The 17,136-nt window shown below is 36.6% G+C and overlaps 1 protein-coding gene across 15 annotated transcripts in view; it reads left to right on the forward strand.

Moving 5' to 3' along the window:
- Positions 1-17,136, forward strand: part of STXBP4 (syntaxin binding protein 4) — a 244,509-nt gene that overhangs the window by 5,697 nt on the left and 221,676 nt on the right. For 14 of the 15 annotated variants that reach the window (XR_007065289.1, XM_047435714.1, XM_017024410.2 and 11 more), the window contains exons 2-4: positions 11,153-11,230; positions 11,681-11,805; positions 16,364-16,496. Coding sequence is in view for 13 of the 15 variants with exons in the window: in XM_047435714.1 (XP_047291670.1) it covers positions 11,759-11,805; positions 16,364-16,496 (180 nt within the window). In the remaining 2 variants the exon portion in view is untranslated. Of the gene's footprint in view, positions 1-11,152; positions 11,231-11,680; positions 11,806-16,363; positions 16,497-17,136 lie in introns of those variants that run through there. The other variant, XM_017024413.2, reaches the window with a different exon arrangement.

Genomic DNA, 17,136 nt, shown 5'->3' on the forward strand with positions numbered 1-17,136 from the left:
ATTAAGTTTATATGATTGACAGATAATGTGAAAGGAAAACAGAAATCATTTATCAATAGAAGGCATTTATTAATTCAAGTAATGTTTATCAAGATCAGGGCCAGCTTCATGAAAATATGACCTGTGCAGTCACACAAGGCCCTACTCTTAAAAGGGCCCCTCACTTATGATGTAGGACATGCAAGCCCCCAAATTGGGGCTTAGCCCAGGAGGGTTCTTGGCTTGGCCTAGAAAAGAATTCCAGGGCAAGCTGGTGGTGTTAAACAGCAACTTTTATTGAAGTGGCATTGTACAGTAAGCAGCAGAGAGACTGCTTCTTGCAGAAAGGGGCTACCCCATAGGCACTCTGCCCAGAATAGCAGCTTAGAGGCAGTTTTGCAAACTCATAGTTATACCCGCTTTTAATTATATGCAAATTAAGGGACAGTTTATGCAGAAATTTCTAGGATGAGTGTGGTAATTTCCAGTTCATAGGGTCATTGCCATGGAAAGGGGTGGTAAGATCTGTATGTTGCCATGGCGATAGTAAACTGATGTGGCACACTGGTGGCCATGTCTTCTGGAAAGGCTTCTATCCAGGAACTTTTTAGCTGATCCTCAGGTTCGTTCCAAGTCCTGATTCCTACCCCACTTAGATAAGCCCTGTGTTTGTTTAATGCTCTACTGTCAGCATCTTGAAATTATTTTTTGTTTTTGAGACGGAGTCTCACTCTGTCACCCAGGCTGGAGTGCAATGGCATGATCTCGGCTCACTGCAACCTCTGCCTCCCAGGTTCAAGTGATCTTCCTGCCTCAGCCTCCTGAGTAGTAGCTGGGATTACAGGCGCATACCACCATGCCCTGCTAAAAATTCTTAATAATTATTTAACATGGGGCCTTGCATTTTCATTTTGTATTGGGCCCTGCAATTTATGCAGCCAGTCCTGGTCAAGATGTAAATAGATATAAATATAGATAGAGATGCAGATACAGATATAGGCACAATATTATATCTCAAATGCACTGACAGACAGTCTCACATGATTCAGGCCAAAGCACAGTCTAATTACGTGATTTAATTATGTGATTAAAGGCAAAGGCAGAAAACTAGGGAAAGTACAAAAGTGGAGAGCCTTTAGAGCCTTTACTTTTAACCTTTAGAAGGTTAAAGGTAAGAGATAAAGGGAAAGGCAAATTCAGGTCTCCTGAGAATAGTCAGGTTAAGTGAAATATGATCAAAACTCCAAACTTGCTACCATAGCCCATAAGACCCTAGGAAATCCAGACCCTGCCTACTTCTCTAACCTTATCTCCTACCACTCTCTCCCTGTTCACCACACTCCAGTTGCACTTCTTTCTTTTCTTTAAACACCTCAAGTTTGTTTTACTGCCCTCAGACCTTTTCTCTGCCTGGAATGCTTTGTCCCTCAGCTTTTTTCACAGATGACTTATTATTTGGATCTTAGCTGGGACACCCTCCCCAGTCTAAATTAGCCCTTCTCTCCTTAGTCACATTTGCTATCACCTTTCAATATCTGAAATCTAGTTCATTTAATTGTATCTTTTTTTTATTGTTTTTCTCCCACCACTAGAATGTAAATACCAAAAGAGCAATGATCTTGACTTGTTCACCATAATATCACATGCCCTTAGTGTTGTACCTGCACATAATTGTACTGAGTTAAAAATTTGGTGGATGAATGCATGAATGAAAGCAAACAGAAGGCAGTCCGGTAGCCTAAGGAAACTTCTGAGAGCAGTGAGCTGTTGTGCTGATGAAGACTCCTTTCAAGAAGACTAAGACTTTCTTTGAAGTAGTTTTCTGATGTTTCCCACTGAGTTGGGCTGTGTGTTACAGGCAGATGCTTATGCATCCTGAAATAGGACCAATTGTCCCATAGAACTGATATTAATCATTTCTTTGAATAAGCACAGAAATTGATTCTCCCATTGTTAAAACTTGAGAAAGTTAAATTTGTCTTATCTGAGTTACTTTCTCAGGAAACCAACCATCAGGCCTCCCAGATACTATCAAGAAACTGAAACTTACCAGATCATTGCATCTGGACAATATGATACCAGACCCTTCAGCCATCATGACTGCCTTACCCAGGGGTACCCAGTCCTTAGGCTGCAGACTAGTAGCCGTCCATGGCCTGTTAGGAACCCGGCCAGACGGCAGGAGGTGAGTGGAGGGCAAGTGGGCATTACCACCTGAGCTCTACCTCCTGTCAGATCAGTGGCAGCATTAGATTCTCCCAGGAGTGAGAACCCTATTATGAATTAGGCATATGAGTGGTCTAGGTTGCATGCTCCTTATGAGAATCTAATGCCTGATGATCTAAGGTGGAACAGTTTCATCTGGAAACCATCCCCCACACCCCCATGCGTGGAAAAATTGTCTTCCACAAAACTGGTCCCTGGTACCAAAAAGGTTGGGGACTGCTGGCCTAACCAATCACTTGCTACCTGTTGACCAACTCCTCTTCCTTACCCCTCCCTAATTCCTGTTTTCCCACACATACTTACATTTTTTCCCTGCCATATAAGCCCCTAATTTTAGCTCGTCAGGGAGAGGGATACAAATTTCCCATCTCCTTGGCTGCGGCACCCAGTTAAAGCCTTCTTCCCTGGCAATACTCCTTTCAGTGATTGGTTTTCTGTGTAGTGAGCAACAGGACCTAAACCGAACCCCTGGCATTTTGGTAACACCCCCAAGACAAATGAGTAGCATTTCTGAACTCGTTAGATTCTTGAAAGAAAAAAACATGCACTAGTAAACAGAATATTGCCTTTGGGTACAGAATAAAAGATAATAAAATACAGTTGGCCATCAGTATCCGCAGGTTCCACATACACAGGTTCAACCAATCACAGATTGAAAATGAACATTAGGCCTACAATGGCTGTGTCTTTACTGAACATGTACACACTTTTTCTTGTCATCATGCCCTAAATAATATAGCATAACATATTTACATTGTGTTTTGTATTATAAGTAATCTAGGGATGATTTAAAATATAGGAGAGGATATGCATAGGTTATGTGCAAATACTACACCATTTTATATCAGGGACTTGAATATCTTCTAATTTTGGTATCTGCAGTGTCCTGGAACAAGTTCCCTGAAAATACTGAGGGATGACTATAACTCTTTGATCTTTTATATATTGGTTTCCTGAAACTTTCATGTCATTTAAAAATGATCAGTTAAGTTTAGCCCAGGGAAAATAGTCATTCCTGATTTTGCCAATTTTCTTAAACAACCTTAGGATTATATAAATAGCTGATGTTATCTTGAGGAATCTCTGCTGTGATAAGGTATAAAACAAGTTACCAGTTTCTAAATGCTGTCATTTTTGTGTCTCCTCAAGTATAATACATCCAACTTTATAGGAAGAAATATTTACATTTTTAATATTAGCTTTAGTGAATAAATAAATAGTAGGCATTTCTAACTTGTCAGTCCACAGAAACCAGACAGATTATTTACTGAGCAGCCAACATCATTGTGCCCTCTTCCTCTTTTGAAATGACCTTAATGTGAAATGTCACTACACTAGTACACTTTTCCCTCCACTCTAATCCCTCCCAAATGACCAACTGCAGCCTACCCCATCCCATTCATGGGTCATACTGATCTTAGAGGTGGACGTATATTTTAAAAAGAAAATCGTTCCCTCAAAAAACATTGGGAGACTTGTAGTTTAATAAGCCTGCCATAAAATTTTTGATTTGTAGAGCCAAGAAAGAACCTTTAAAGATCATTTTATGAATGATTTTGACATCGTACATATGAAGACTAGGGAGCAGAGTAAGTGGCTGCTCAAAGTCATATGTCTAGTGGGCATCTACCCTCTGGACTGGTACTCTTCCCAATGCAATAAAAAAAACATGAAATATATGTACTATGTAATATGTACTATGAGCTTCTTTGCTATGAGTCATCTTTCTTTTTAAATTATAGCAGAAAATAAGTGTATTTATTTCTACTGCCTGTCAATTTGCTTACAAAGGAGTTGTCATAAGAAGTTATTTAAAGGATGTAGCTGAATTTCTTTGTGAAACACCAGATCTATGTTATTTTCTCTTTTAAATTGCAACATTTGTTGATACCTTAGCAAATGAAGATGAAAGAAGAAAATAACATAAAGGGTAAAATGACATTAAAGGAGACATAATTAGAAAGAGCTGATATTTAGATGCCAAGAAGGTACACTGGAACATGGTAACTTTTTTGATATTTTTCCTTCTTTATCCAAATAATATATCAAAGTATATATCCTTGTTGTAAGCCATTCAAAAAATAAAGAATAACTTAAAGAAGGAAATAAAAATAACAGTAAATAAAAATAGTAGTTCCAAGTGTCAGTTATTGTTTACATTTTATATTTTTAATAAATGTAATTTTAAAAGATGAAATTATTCTACACATTCTGTTTTTACCTTGCTGTTGTTTTTTACCTAGACCATTTTTGATGATTACATAGTATTGTTTTACATGATTATACTGTAAATTATTTAACCAGTTATCAATTTTTACATATTTTTGAGGTTTCTGATATTTTATAATTACTAACTATTCTGTAATGATACTTATGAACTAACAGATACTTCTGTGTGTTTGCTGAATCACTCCTTGCCAACCACAAAGTATTAAAATGAACTGGTATCCTGCCTTTGGTAGACAAACCCTGGATTTGGATTTTCCCCCATTGCTGATATCCCATTTCCCCAGGTGCCCCTCAAAATGTTTTTGTTCTCTCACTTTTTCTAACCCTCTTTTTCTTTATTGTTCATAATTGTTTATTAAATGTGCTGAATTTTCACTTTTAAGGGATATTTTACAAACCATACCTACCTAGCATTTTTAGATACTTCTGACCCCAGCCACATCTTCCTTTTTGAACATAAAATCAAGGAGTGCCCTATGTGTCCTTATTGCTCTATCAGGAATCTGGTTACTTTATATAGTGTGTGAACCCAAGAAAGCAATTAAATCTCTCCTTTATGCCCCTGGAAAAGCTAACAGTGCTCTCTGCTAAGAAAAAGCCTCCTTTAGCCCCTTTCTTTTCTTTTATTCCCTCACTAACAATATACGCATAAGCCCTCATACTCAATATGAACTGAAATTCTCCAATCAGTCTACAGCCATACCACCCTGAACATGCCAGATCTTGTCTGAAAATCCCCATTTTATCAAGATAATTTAGTGTATCTTTAGAGACCTCTAGATGGCCAATAGCTTCTGACAAAGCACTTTTCTTATGAGCTTTTTAACATTATTATGAAGAGACTATTTGGACTTAGTATTAAAGCAACAAATCTTGCCTTCACTGGTATCATACTGTCCTTCCCTTTCCTTCTGGTGATCATTTCACTTTAGACAAACAACTAAAAAGACATTAGAGCTCTTGACCTCACAGCTCATTAAATACTTCAAAGTAAATATAAAAGTACTCTGGCAAGGAAGGATGGGAATTAGGCTTTTGCTTACAAAGCCTTTATAGGTCTATTCTAGATGTATTATTTTAGACTTTGCAATGACAGCTTAATAAATCATCTACTTATTTGTTTGTGACAGGTGTCTGTGTGTGTGTTGTTAAGTAAAATGCAATTGTATGTAAACCAATATATTACAATTACATAATTTTTAACAAAAATATAACACGTATGAATTGTGCCTGGTTTTTTCTTCCACTGCTTTATTAGTAACATTTTTAAATGAAGACATATAATCATATAATCAAGCAGAATTTGGGGTGGGAGGGAAATTATTTTCTAGAAGATGAAACACTTAAAGCTTTCCCAAAATATTTTTTGTTATTTACAAAATAGTGGATTTTTAAAAGGCATTAAATTAACAATAAAAAAAAATAATACCTAGGAATTAACTAAATAAGAAATGTGCAGCTGTTACCAGTGCAGGGTCTTGACTACAAGTCGTCCAGGTTCTTGGCAATTTGAACAAAGATTTGGACAAAATGCACAAACAAAGCAAGGAAAGAATGAAACAATGAAAGCACAGATTTACTGAAATGAAAGTACTCTCCACAGAGTGGAAGCAGGCTGCAGCAAGTGGCTCAAGAGCGCTGGTTACAGAATATTCTGGGGTTTAAATTTCCTCTAGAGGTTTTCCATCGTTTCCTTGGTTACACCCTATGTAAATGAAGGAGTGGCCTGCAGCTAATCAGAAGTACTTTCCATTTTTCATCTGCCATGCAGTGCAAAGGGAGTAGCCTCTCATCCTTTTGTGGAGAGGTAGGGTTTTCCTTTTGATTCAGTTCTAGGAAGTCAGCACCAATCAGCCTTAGGCTCCCTGCCTCCAGACCCTATTCTCCTGCCTCACAAGGTCACTGTGAAGGCAACTTTAAAACACAGTAGAAACAGGCTTGTCCCATCTGTGGCCCATGGGCTGCATGTGGCCCAGGACAACTTTAAATGTGTTCCAACACAATTTCGTAAACTTTCTTAAAACATGAGATTTTTTTGCGTTTTTTTTTTGTTGTTGTTGATGATTTGTTTTTAAGCTCATTAGTCAATATTAGTGTTAGTGTATTTCATGTGTGGCCTAAGACAATTCTTCCTCCAATGTGACCTGGGGAAGCCAAAAGATTGGCCACCCCTGCTATAGAAGTTCACAAAAGAAGATTTGAACAAATAGAAAGTGATACCAAATTCCTGGATAGGAAGACTCAAAATAACATCATAGATAACAATACTTCTTCAATTATTTGTAAATTTAGTGTGATTCCCTTACAAATAGCATTGTTTTGTTTTTTAAACAAGATAAGAATACTTTGAATTTAATGTGTAAAAATAAACAACCAAAAACAACCAGGGAAACTTGGTTAACAAAAGAACAAATGAGAGATGATCGGCCTTACTAGATATGATAGTGCCTCTGTAATTAAAATAGAATGGCATTGGTGTACAAATAAACAACCTAACCAAAGGGCCAGAATAAAAATTACAGAAGTAGACCCAAACACTTAAGAGATTTTGTATATGATGAAAGTTGTATCTCAAAATGGTGGGGAAAAGATTTAATAAATGTAGTTGAGACAATGGGGTGGTCTTCTTGGGAAAAATATGAGTTGGATCTGTGCTTTATATTATGATGGATTCCAAATGGATCAAATATTTAAAAATGAAACCATAAGAGTACTGGAAGAAAATATGAGAGAATTCTTTATAACTTTGGAGTGGGCAAGGAGTTTCTAATTTGACCTAAAACCTGGAAATCATAAAAGATTCATAAGTTAGCCACAAACTTTTGTGTAACAAAAAGCCCATAACCCAGAAGAAAAGGGGGGAAAATATATTTGCAATTCTTAATGCTGATAGAGAGATAATTTCTGTAATATTTAAGAACTCCTAGAAACTGAACAGAGAAAGACCTAACGATAAATAGAAGAATTGGCAAAAGATGTAAAAAAAACACAGTTCACATAAAAGAAGATACTGAATGGTTCTTAAAGCATAAAAAAACTCTTCTGCCTCACTCCAACTACCTTGAGATACCATTTTCATCAATAAAACTGGCAAAAATCCAAACGTTATTTAGTATACCATAGTGGAGAAAATTTAGAGTAACAGGCACTATAGTTGGTGAGATAGTAAATTAGTACAACCCTGACTGAGGGACATTTGGCAATTTGTATCAATTTCATTATGGCATTTTTGTAATTTCATTAAATTAATATTTACTATAATTTCTGGCAGAAGATATTTTTATCCCTTTTATTTTCTCTATTTTTTGTCCAGTGAAAAGAACTGGTTTTATTGAATACCATGTCTGAGAATATAAATTACTAAGTCTTACTCAAACACCATATGCGTTATGGACAGATTTTTTTAATCTGATGAGATTTCTAATTACATGGGATGAAGATTGTTTTAATGAGATCATAAGTAAACAGACTTATCAAAGAAAAGCTCTAATTTAAGTTTTCTGGAATAGATTCATCTTTAACAACAAGATTTTTTTTCTCCAATGTTCCACTTTCTCTGTTTTTGCTGACCTGTTTGCCTCTTATGATTCACCAAACTAGAATAACAATATATTTGTCTTCAATGTTCATATTTTTAGTAAAAGAACAGAATGTTTTCCTTCTGTGTTATTTATTAATTATGGGAACTTGAGGGTGGTTTGTGTGTGTGTGTGTGTGTGTGTGTGTGTGTGAGTGTGGTGAGTATGTGTATGTAACATTACTGGAATCCCTGTTGGCTGAGGGCCTTGCAAGTTTGTATAAAGAGAGAGTAGGAAGCAGGCAAAGGAGAGGGAAAGGACAGGCATTTTATGATATTTAAGGACATGACAATGAATACCACTGTTGGGATGGATAAGATTAAACCCACTTCTGTTTAATCAATAGTGTCATCTTTATATAAAAGAGATAACACATTACCACTCCTTACTCTCTCATTCCACTTTTTTGGTGAATCAAACTTTTTACCTGAATTAATTTTCCAGCATACTGTAGTAGAAACAAACAGCTTGGGTTTGGAGCAAGAAAGAGCAGGGTTCAAACTCTACTTTACAACTAGCCTGTGACAATGGACAAGCCACATACTTTCTGTATGACTTATTTTTCTTTTGTATAAAATTGGGTTAATAATACCTCCCTTGTGGGGCTCCTGTGGGAAGAAAATCCTGTAACATGGTGCCTGGCTGTATTCGTGTTTAATGATGACTTAGATCCCAGGTTACGCAGCCTTTCTCCATACTCCCTGTGTATACTGCTGTCAGAGCACTTCACCCCTCCTGATCTCATCTCATCTTTGGCACTTAGGACACTGCCAGCATGTTAAGTGAATGGAATAAACACCTAAATTTTATTTTAAACCTTAAAATAGAAATGTTTTAAAATGTCTTGTTAAGTATATTATATGGAATCTATTGTAGAGTAGCATTTATACATCATTAGGCTTGAATATGTTCCCAGGGGACCTGGGGACCTGTGTCCAGTTAGAACAACTCACCAAAGATGAGGATCTTACTCACTTTGGTACCAGTAGAAAGACTGCTCAGTTTTTCACATCTGCTTTTGAGCAAGGTGTTACTATTCTTACCTTACTTAATAGGAGGAGATGCTAAGAGGTTAGGCAATTTTTCTAATGCCATATTACTAGCCCATGGCAGTATTGCCATTTGAACTCTGCATTTCTTTTCTTTTTTTTTTACTTATGTCTAGTACATTTTCCACAATATTAAATAAATACATTTGGAATACATAGTGTGTGAAACATAGTGCCAATTAATGGTAGTTGCTATTATTGTTATTATTTGAGAATGACCTCTCTTGAGGTTTGAGAATCTGCTCCATGCGTGTATCATTAAAGCAGTCTATAATGAACTTATGCAAACTTAGTTTTAGAATTGAACTCTCTTCCATGACTATATCAGTCTTGTGGACAGCTGCAGTGGCTCTTGACTCTGAGAGACTACTAGTCAAAGCCCAAGGATTTTAAGCTCCTCCCTCAGGTGGCCCTTCTTTTCCTCATGGGTACTGAATAACTTTCTTACTTCATGGTCATTGGACTTTTGCTACTGACATTGTGGCTTGGTGGCTTCATTTTTCTGGCTGCTGTTGATCTGCATGCTTCCACTGTTCCTGTTGCTTGCTACTACAGAGGGCGTGAAAGTCGAAATGTGTTTTTACCACCCAGACCAGTGAATACATTGCTATGTTAGGGTCTCAAAAGTAGTTGGCTCTGTGTTTGGGGCCCATTCAGTTAATTTACGGAAGAATCTATGATTTCTTCTGCATACAGTGGTTGAAGAAAAGATAGGATGATCCTCTTGATTTTAGTCTTTAATCTCTCAGTTTTGTTCTCCCTAGAACTTTTTGTTTCTGAGTCTTCAATTTCTCTGGGACTCTCTTTTTCTTTTTTCTTTTTTTTTTTTTTTTTTTTTGAGACGGAGTCTGGCTCTGTCGCCCAGGCTGGAGTGCAGTGGCACGGTCTTGGCTCACTGCAAGCTCCGCCTCCCAGGTTCACGCCATTCTCCTGCCTCAGCCTCCCGAGTAGCTGGGACTACAGGCGCTGCCACCACGCCCGGCTAATTTTTTTTGTATTTTTAGTAGAGACGAGATTTCACCGTGTTAGCCAGGATGGTCTCGATCTCCTGACCTCGTGATCCACCCGCCTCGGCCACCCAAAGTACTAGGATTACAGGCGTGAACCACCGCACCCGGCCAGTTTCTCTGGGATTCTTTAAGATATGTTCCTCCTGCACCTGTTTCCTAGGCCAGAATTTTGTTGTGAATCAGTTGCTGATGTGCTGATATATTGATTCTCCTCAGCTTTTCAGAGGATATCAGCTTTCTTTACCTTAGTATGCCATACAAATATTACCATTATGTGTGTGCTCAGACTTAAAAAATGTTTAAGAAGCACTGCCCTAAATTTCAGCTTCTTCACCCCTCTTTTACCAATTATCACCCAACCATCTTTTTTTTATCTTCCAAAAACTTGTTCAAAATTTTCATCCAATGGCTCTTTTCCCATTTACTCTTCAACATTCTGAGTTTGTACTGTTTGTAACTCTTTACCCTAAGACTTTCATATTAGTTGGCTCTTGGGAGGGAAAGAATATATGTGCCAAGGTCAAGATGCCATTTTTAACTGAAAATCGGGTTTTTTAAAAGTTTAACTTTATTAAGCTATAATTGATTTACAACAAACAGCAGATATTTAAAGTGAGACAGTTTGTTACATTTGACATGTATCCATTTGTGAAATCATCGCCACAATCAAGGCACCTACTGTACCTCTGTAGAAACTGAGGCTTGGAGAAGCCCAAAATTTCAAATGAGAACCCAGGCCTATCAGATCTCAAGGTCCATCCTGTAGACTATAACCTGAGTTCTAGTTAGGAGAAGAAAAACAACAACAACAACAACAACAAAAACACTATTTTTCATTTGTGAGGGAAAACCACACAGTCTCTGAATCTAGCTCCTCATTTCTTCAGGAAGAGAGTTGTACTAAATGATCCTAGTGTCTTTTTCAACTTTAAGTTCCTTTGCTTCATTCATTGTTCTTATGAAAAGGTGGTAAATCTCTGTTCAAATACAGTTTGTTTTAATTAAATGACACCACTATTCTCTGTAATTTTCACAGTGGAACAATATAAGACATTAAAAGCATATTTTTTTCTCTTCATAGGAAAGCCATTTAAGAAGTTCCTGGAATAATATTAGTCAGAGTAATATAGGATCTGCAGGAAGTGTCTCAAGATAGTTGGTAAGATAATAAGAATTTAGTTTTTTTCAAATGCATTGCATAATTATTTTTCTGACTATAAGCTTCGTAGCCTTGTACTCACAGGAGACATTTTCCTTAATCTTTAACTATTATGTGATTTTTAAGCTTACCAAGGGTGGAAGTTGTAATAGTTACCTAAAGCTTAGCTGTATGTTCACTTTTGCCAGAAAATGAAGATGTTATATAGATATGGATATTCATAATGATATAGACATAGACTTATCTATCTAATGAGCTGTCTTTACACTTCTCGGATGTTATTGTCAATGATAAAATGCCATAACACAAAATACATACAATACATCTAACATCTATATACAGGCTTATATTATTTATGTTCCAAGTGTATATAATGTTTTTATGAACAGTTGGAATCAAATTTGACAGTTCTAAGACCTGACAATTTATTTTCTACTTCTTCAATCCTAGGAAAAGAAGAATTTCTAGACTCTTCATCAAGATCTTCATTTATACAGCTGTTAAATCCAAGGCTACTTTGGTGAAAGCATGAATAAAAATACATCTACTGTAGTATCACCCAGTCTACTTGAAAAGTAATTTTTAAGTTTAATATGTTTTGAAATATAGTTTGAAATATGTAAACTATTAATGAACATTTGATTAAAAGTTTTTTTACATCTAGCTCTCTAATGTGGTCTAGGATAGCAGCAATGAGTAGTGAGTAAAGTAATACGTTGAATTACCTTTCAATGTAAATCAGTGTATAGAACAAAATCTGCATTCTCTTTTAAGTCATCTGTGCAGGCACGGTAGGGCATGCCTGTAGTCCCAGCTGCTCGGGAGACTAGGACAGGAGGATAGCCTGAAGTTGGGAGTTTGAGGCTGTAGTATGCTATGATTGTACCTGTTAATAGCCACAGCACTCCAGCTTGGGCAACATAGCAAAACTCTGTCTCTAAAAATAATAAAAAATAGACAATTGTCAAATACATTTTTAAAAACTCTTTTGTGAGATTTCTTTTTTAAATTTTGATTTTTAATATCTAGAATATTTTATAATTCCATTAAAAAAATTTGATAATATATAGATTAACTCTTGCTGACTAACAAACCACCCTAAAATCCCTTAAAACAATAAGCATTTATTTTTTCTCATGATTCAGTGGGTTGGTTGAGCAGTTCTGCTCTATACCAGATAATGTAGGATGGCCTCATTTACATCTTGTGAGGCCTCAGCTAGGAAGGTTGAATGGCAGAGGTCTCTGTAGAACTGGTCTGTCATTCTTCAGGAGGCTGGCTCAAGCTTTTCACATGGTAGCAGAAGCACAGGTGTTTTCCAAATACCCAGTTTCCTCACATTTGCTGGTATCCCATGGGCCAAAGCAATTTAAATAGCCAAATGAAAATTCAAGGAGTGGAGATACAGACTTTGCTTTTAGTGAAAGGAAGCAGTAAAGTCACATTACCAAGATGCATGCAGACAGGAATGGGAGGAATTGGTGGCCATTTTGCAAACGTAAAACATACCTTTAACAAGGCATATTAAAAAAAATCTTGCTGTTATTCTAGTCTTCACTGTGTGCCCTCATTCCCTCTATAAAAAGTTGTTTTTATTCTTGGTCCTTTTGTAGTGCTTCTTTTTGGTTAAGCCAATGCATATATATAAAAATAAATATACACATATGTATGTACACATGATAATTATATATATTTGGATTCCACTCCCCAGAATATTCTTAAGTAAAAGGTGTCATGTATACTGTTTTGACCTTGGCTTTTTGTTTTAATGTATATCCTGGTGATCCCTTCATATCAGTTTATAAAAATCTTCCTTGTTTTTTGTTATAACTTGTTTTTGTTATATTCCTTGTTTTTGTTATAACTGCATAATATTCTATTGTGTGGATGTACCATGGTTTATTCAGCCACTATATTATGGATGGGCAAACAATACATTTGCAATTTCTGGTGAATACAAATTATGCCAAAATGAATAACCTAGCATATAAGTCATTTTCTATTTTTTGCCAGAGTATCTTTGGGATAGATTCCTAGAAATGGAATTGCTGGATCAGAGGGTCTTTTTTTGTTAGAGGTTACCAATTTATCTCTTTAGAAGTTGTACCATTTTGCATTCCCACCAGCAGTGTGCAAAAATGCCTCTTTTCCCATAGCTTTTTCATCAGAGTATGTTGTTGAAGTTCTAAATTTTTATTGGTCTGGTAGGTGAGTAGTAGTATCTCTGCAGTTTTAACTTGTAATTCTCTTATTATGAGTAAAGTTGAGCAGAACTATTTTTAATACTTAATAGGAAAAAAGAGTATATAATCTAAAATTTTAATAAGAGTTTTAAAATAAGGTCCTAGTCATGTATGTAAATTTTATGCTGCTATGAACATATAAATTTATGTTTAAGAAGAACTTTCAACAACATAGACATTGCTTATAATAATTCTGGGTAAGAAGAAAAACAAGATCTAAAATGGTTTAAGTAGTATGATAGCAATTCAGAAAATATATGGATATTAATTCAGAAAATATATGGATAGATTTATAGAGAAAACGTATTAGCAGCAATAAACTGCTGTGTTAATAATACTTTGTTGGGATTAGAAAAGTAAGATCCTATACTGAAACAATAATATATGCTGGAGATTGTTTGTGCCCCCAGTGAAGGACATTCACATTTGGAGGGTTTAAGAGTTAGTGGAGAGATCTAATAAGGTAGCTTACTTCCCTTTCTTACCTTATCTTTCATTTCTAGGCTTTACTCGTTTATGTTTTTGCAATCTACCATCCTGTAAAGAAGGGATTTATTGGCCAGGGGCGGTGCCTCATGCCTGTAATCTCAGCACTTTGGGAGGCCGAGGCGGGTGGATCACTTGAGGTCAGGAGTTCGAGACCAGCCTGGCCAACATGGTGAAACCCTGTCTCTACCAAAAATACTCAAAATTAGCTGGGTGTGGTAGCACGCACCTGTAATCCCAGCTATTCAGGAGGCTGAGGTGGGAAAGTCGCTTAACCTGGGAGGCAGAGGTTGCAGTAAGCTGAGATCACGCCACTGCACTCCAGCCAGGACAGAGCAAGACCCCGTCTCAAAAAAAGAAAAAAAAGAATGAATTTAGGGTGCATTTTGGACCCTTGGACCCTGTCCTCTCTGCCTTTTTTCTAGCTGATTGACTATTGCCCTAGAAACCAGATAGGCCTTCCCAAATTAGAGCTGAATTCAGTATACCTGTGATACAGCTCTAAATGATGTTATATATGGAGAGCAAAATAGTCAAAAACGGAGTTCTATGTGCTTTTTAAAAAAATTTCTTCTTTTTAGAAATTATTTTTTTGAATGCAACAGTTTTCTTAAAGATATTCTTAGAATTTCTACGGCAGAAGCTAAGAAAGCTTTTTCTAAAAACTATAATCATGTAAGATATGAAGTAACTCTTTTTCTTTTTGAGACAGAGTCTCGCTCTGTTGCCCAGGCTGGAGTGCAGTGGCACGATCTTGGCTCACAGCAAGCTCTGCCTCCCGGGTTCACGCCATTCTCCTGCCTCAGCCTCCTGAGCAGCTGGTACTATAGGCGTCCACCACCGCGCCTGGCTAATTTTTTGTATTTTTAGTATAGACGGGGTTTCACTGTGGTCTCGATCTCCTGACCTCGTGATCCGCCCGCCTCGGCCTCCCAAAGTGCTGGGATTATAGGCATGAGCCACCATGCCCAGCCAGAAGTATTTCTTTTTTTAATAGTAGTTTCAGTTATTCAATGTATTTGAAGATAGCTGGAAGTCCTATATTCAACAATGGCTCTAACACAACAACAAAGTAGATTACATATCACATTTTGCCTCTGAAGTAAGACTGACTGGGCTCACACTTGGGCCATCAAGTTAACCTATCTGAATTTTGGGTCTTTTAAAAAAATAAGGGTAAGAATCTTAAGGATTTTATAAATATTAAATTAAATGTCATTATTTAGGTGTTGTTTAGCACAGTACCCAGTATTAGTAAACAGGCAGCCCTAAATCTTATTTCAAACTTAATTCAAGTTTTGTTTGACCAGTAAAAGTCTCTGGTCTGACCCAGGTATTCAGAAATGCAACTTGGATATCCCTTTTGCAGGATGTTTTGTACAGTCCCTTCTTTTCAAATGGCATTGCTTTTATGTCTGACAGAAATTACAGTTGAAACAAGTACTTTTTACCAAGAAAATATTCTTTCTAAATTAAAAAGATAAAATTTGAGATTCAAATGGAAGTCATATTTACTTTGCTTTAAATGGCCACAGACATGTCTTTTAAAGCTACTTAAAATATTTAGTTTTGGAATTCTTCAAGTAGTCTAATAACCAGGTAAAAGCAAATCTTTTCCGTCGCCTTTAATACATTTTTGTCCTACTCCAAAGAAATAAGCATTATCATTGTAAATTCTTTTGTGTTTTGGATGTTTTGTAGGGAAAATTAAAAGTATATGCAAGCAAACTCATTTAATTGTTGTTATGTCACCATACTTTTTAAAAATGTCACTGCTAGTAAGTACTAAGTATTTTGGGTTGTCTAGATCAGAGGTCCCTAATCCCTGGGCCACAGACTGGTAGTGGTCCGTAGTCTGTTAGGAATCAGGCGACACAGCAGGAGGTGAGTCTAGGGCAAGTAAGCATTACTGCCTGAGCTCTGCCTCCTGTCAGATCAATGGCGGCATTCAATGCTCATAGGAGCATGAACCCTATTGTGAACTGTGCATGTGAGGGATCTAGCTTGCGTGCTCCTTTTGAGAATCTAGTGGCTGGTGATCTGTCACTGTCTCCCCTCACCCCCAGATGGGACTGTCTAGTTGCAGGAAAACAAGCTCAGGGCTCCCCCTGATTCTACATTATTGTGAATTGTATAATTATTTTATTATATATTACAATGTAATAATAAAGTGCACAAGAAATGTAGTGCATTTGAATCATCCCGAAACCATCACCCCTCTGCAACCCCATTCCCTCTCCCCCCACCTTGGAAAAATTGTCTTCCATGAAACAAGTCCCTGGTACCAAAAAAGGTGAGGGGTTGCTGCTCTAGATCTCAGATTTTGATTTAATAAGTAGTTTAAAGAAAAAAATAGGTGCAGATCTCTAGACTAACCTGTGTGTGCTAATTTACTTTATCTTAGGGATCCTGCCTTTCAGATGATTACAATTGCCAAGGAAACAGGCCTTGGCCTGAAGGTACTAGGAGGAATTAACCGGAATGAAGGCCCATTGGTATATATTCAGGAAATTATTCCTGGAGGAGACTGTTATAAGGTAAAAATATGTCCCATGCCCACCAAAAATACAAACAAAAAGACCCACCAGTGGTAAAGTTTATTTTTTCTTCTTTATTAGTGAATTTATATCCACTGTGACCATACCTCAGTGAAAAATACAAAGGAATTAGAAGATAAGACTATTGCCCTCAAGGAGCTTTAAACTAAGAAATAAATAGGTTCTTCTTCTATGAAAATAATAGATATTTCTGACTGTAAGATAAGGTTATTATTTTTAAATTACATGCTGTTCAACTTTTATCCTGTATCTGATTGAGAGAAATTATATTTGATGACTTGTTATCTTTCTACTACTTTGAGTTTTTATTAAGTTGGATCAGTAGAACTTTAATTACATTCATTTAGCCTCTACTAAATGCAAAACAAAACAGAAACAGCAAACAAAATCTAATTTCTGAATTCGCAGTTCTTGTAGCTTGAGCTAATGAGTTTTATCACTCATTAAAACCAGAAAATGTCTTTTTTTAGGAATTAGAAAGTCTTACTCTCCTCTTCAGTGTAAGAAATATATAATGAGCTCCCTTTCACTTTGGTTGGTAGGAAGCTCAGACCCAAATTTGAAGGACAACCCCAGCAGTTTAACAAACTAGTTACTATATTTAAATTCTCATTCTTCT

The sequence above is a fragment of the Homo sapiens genome, chromosome 17 (genome assembly GCF_000001405.40).
Source record: "Homo sapiens chromosome 17, GRCh38.p14 Primary Assembly".
In the NCBI taxonomy this organism is placed as follows: domain Eukaryota; kingdom Metazoa; phylum Chordata; class Mammalia; order Primates; family Hominidae; genus Homo; species Homo sapiens.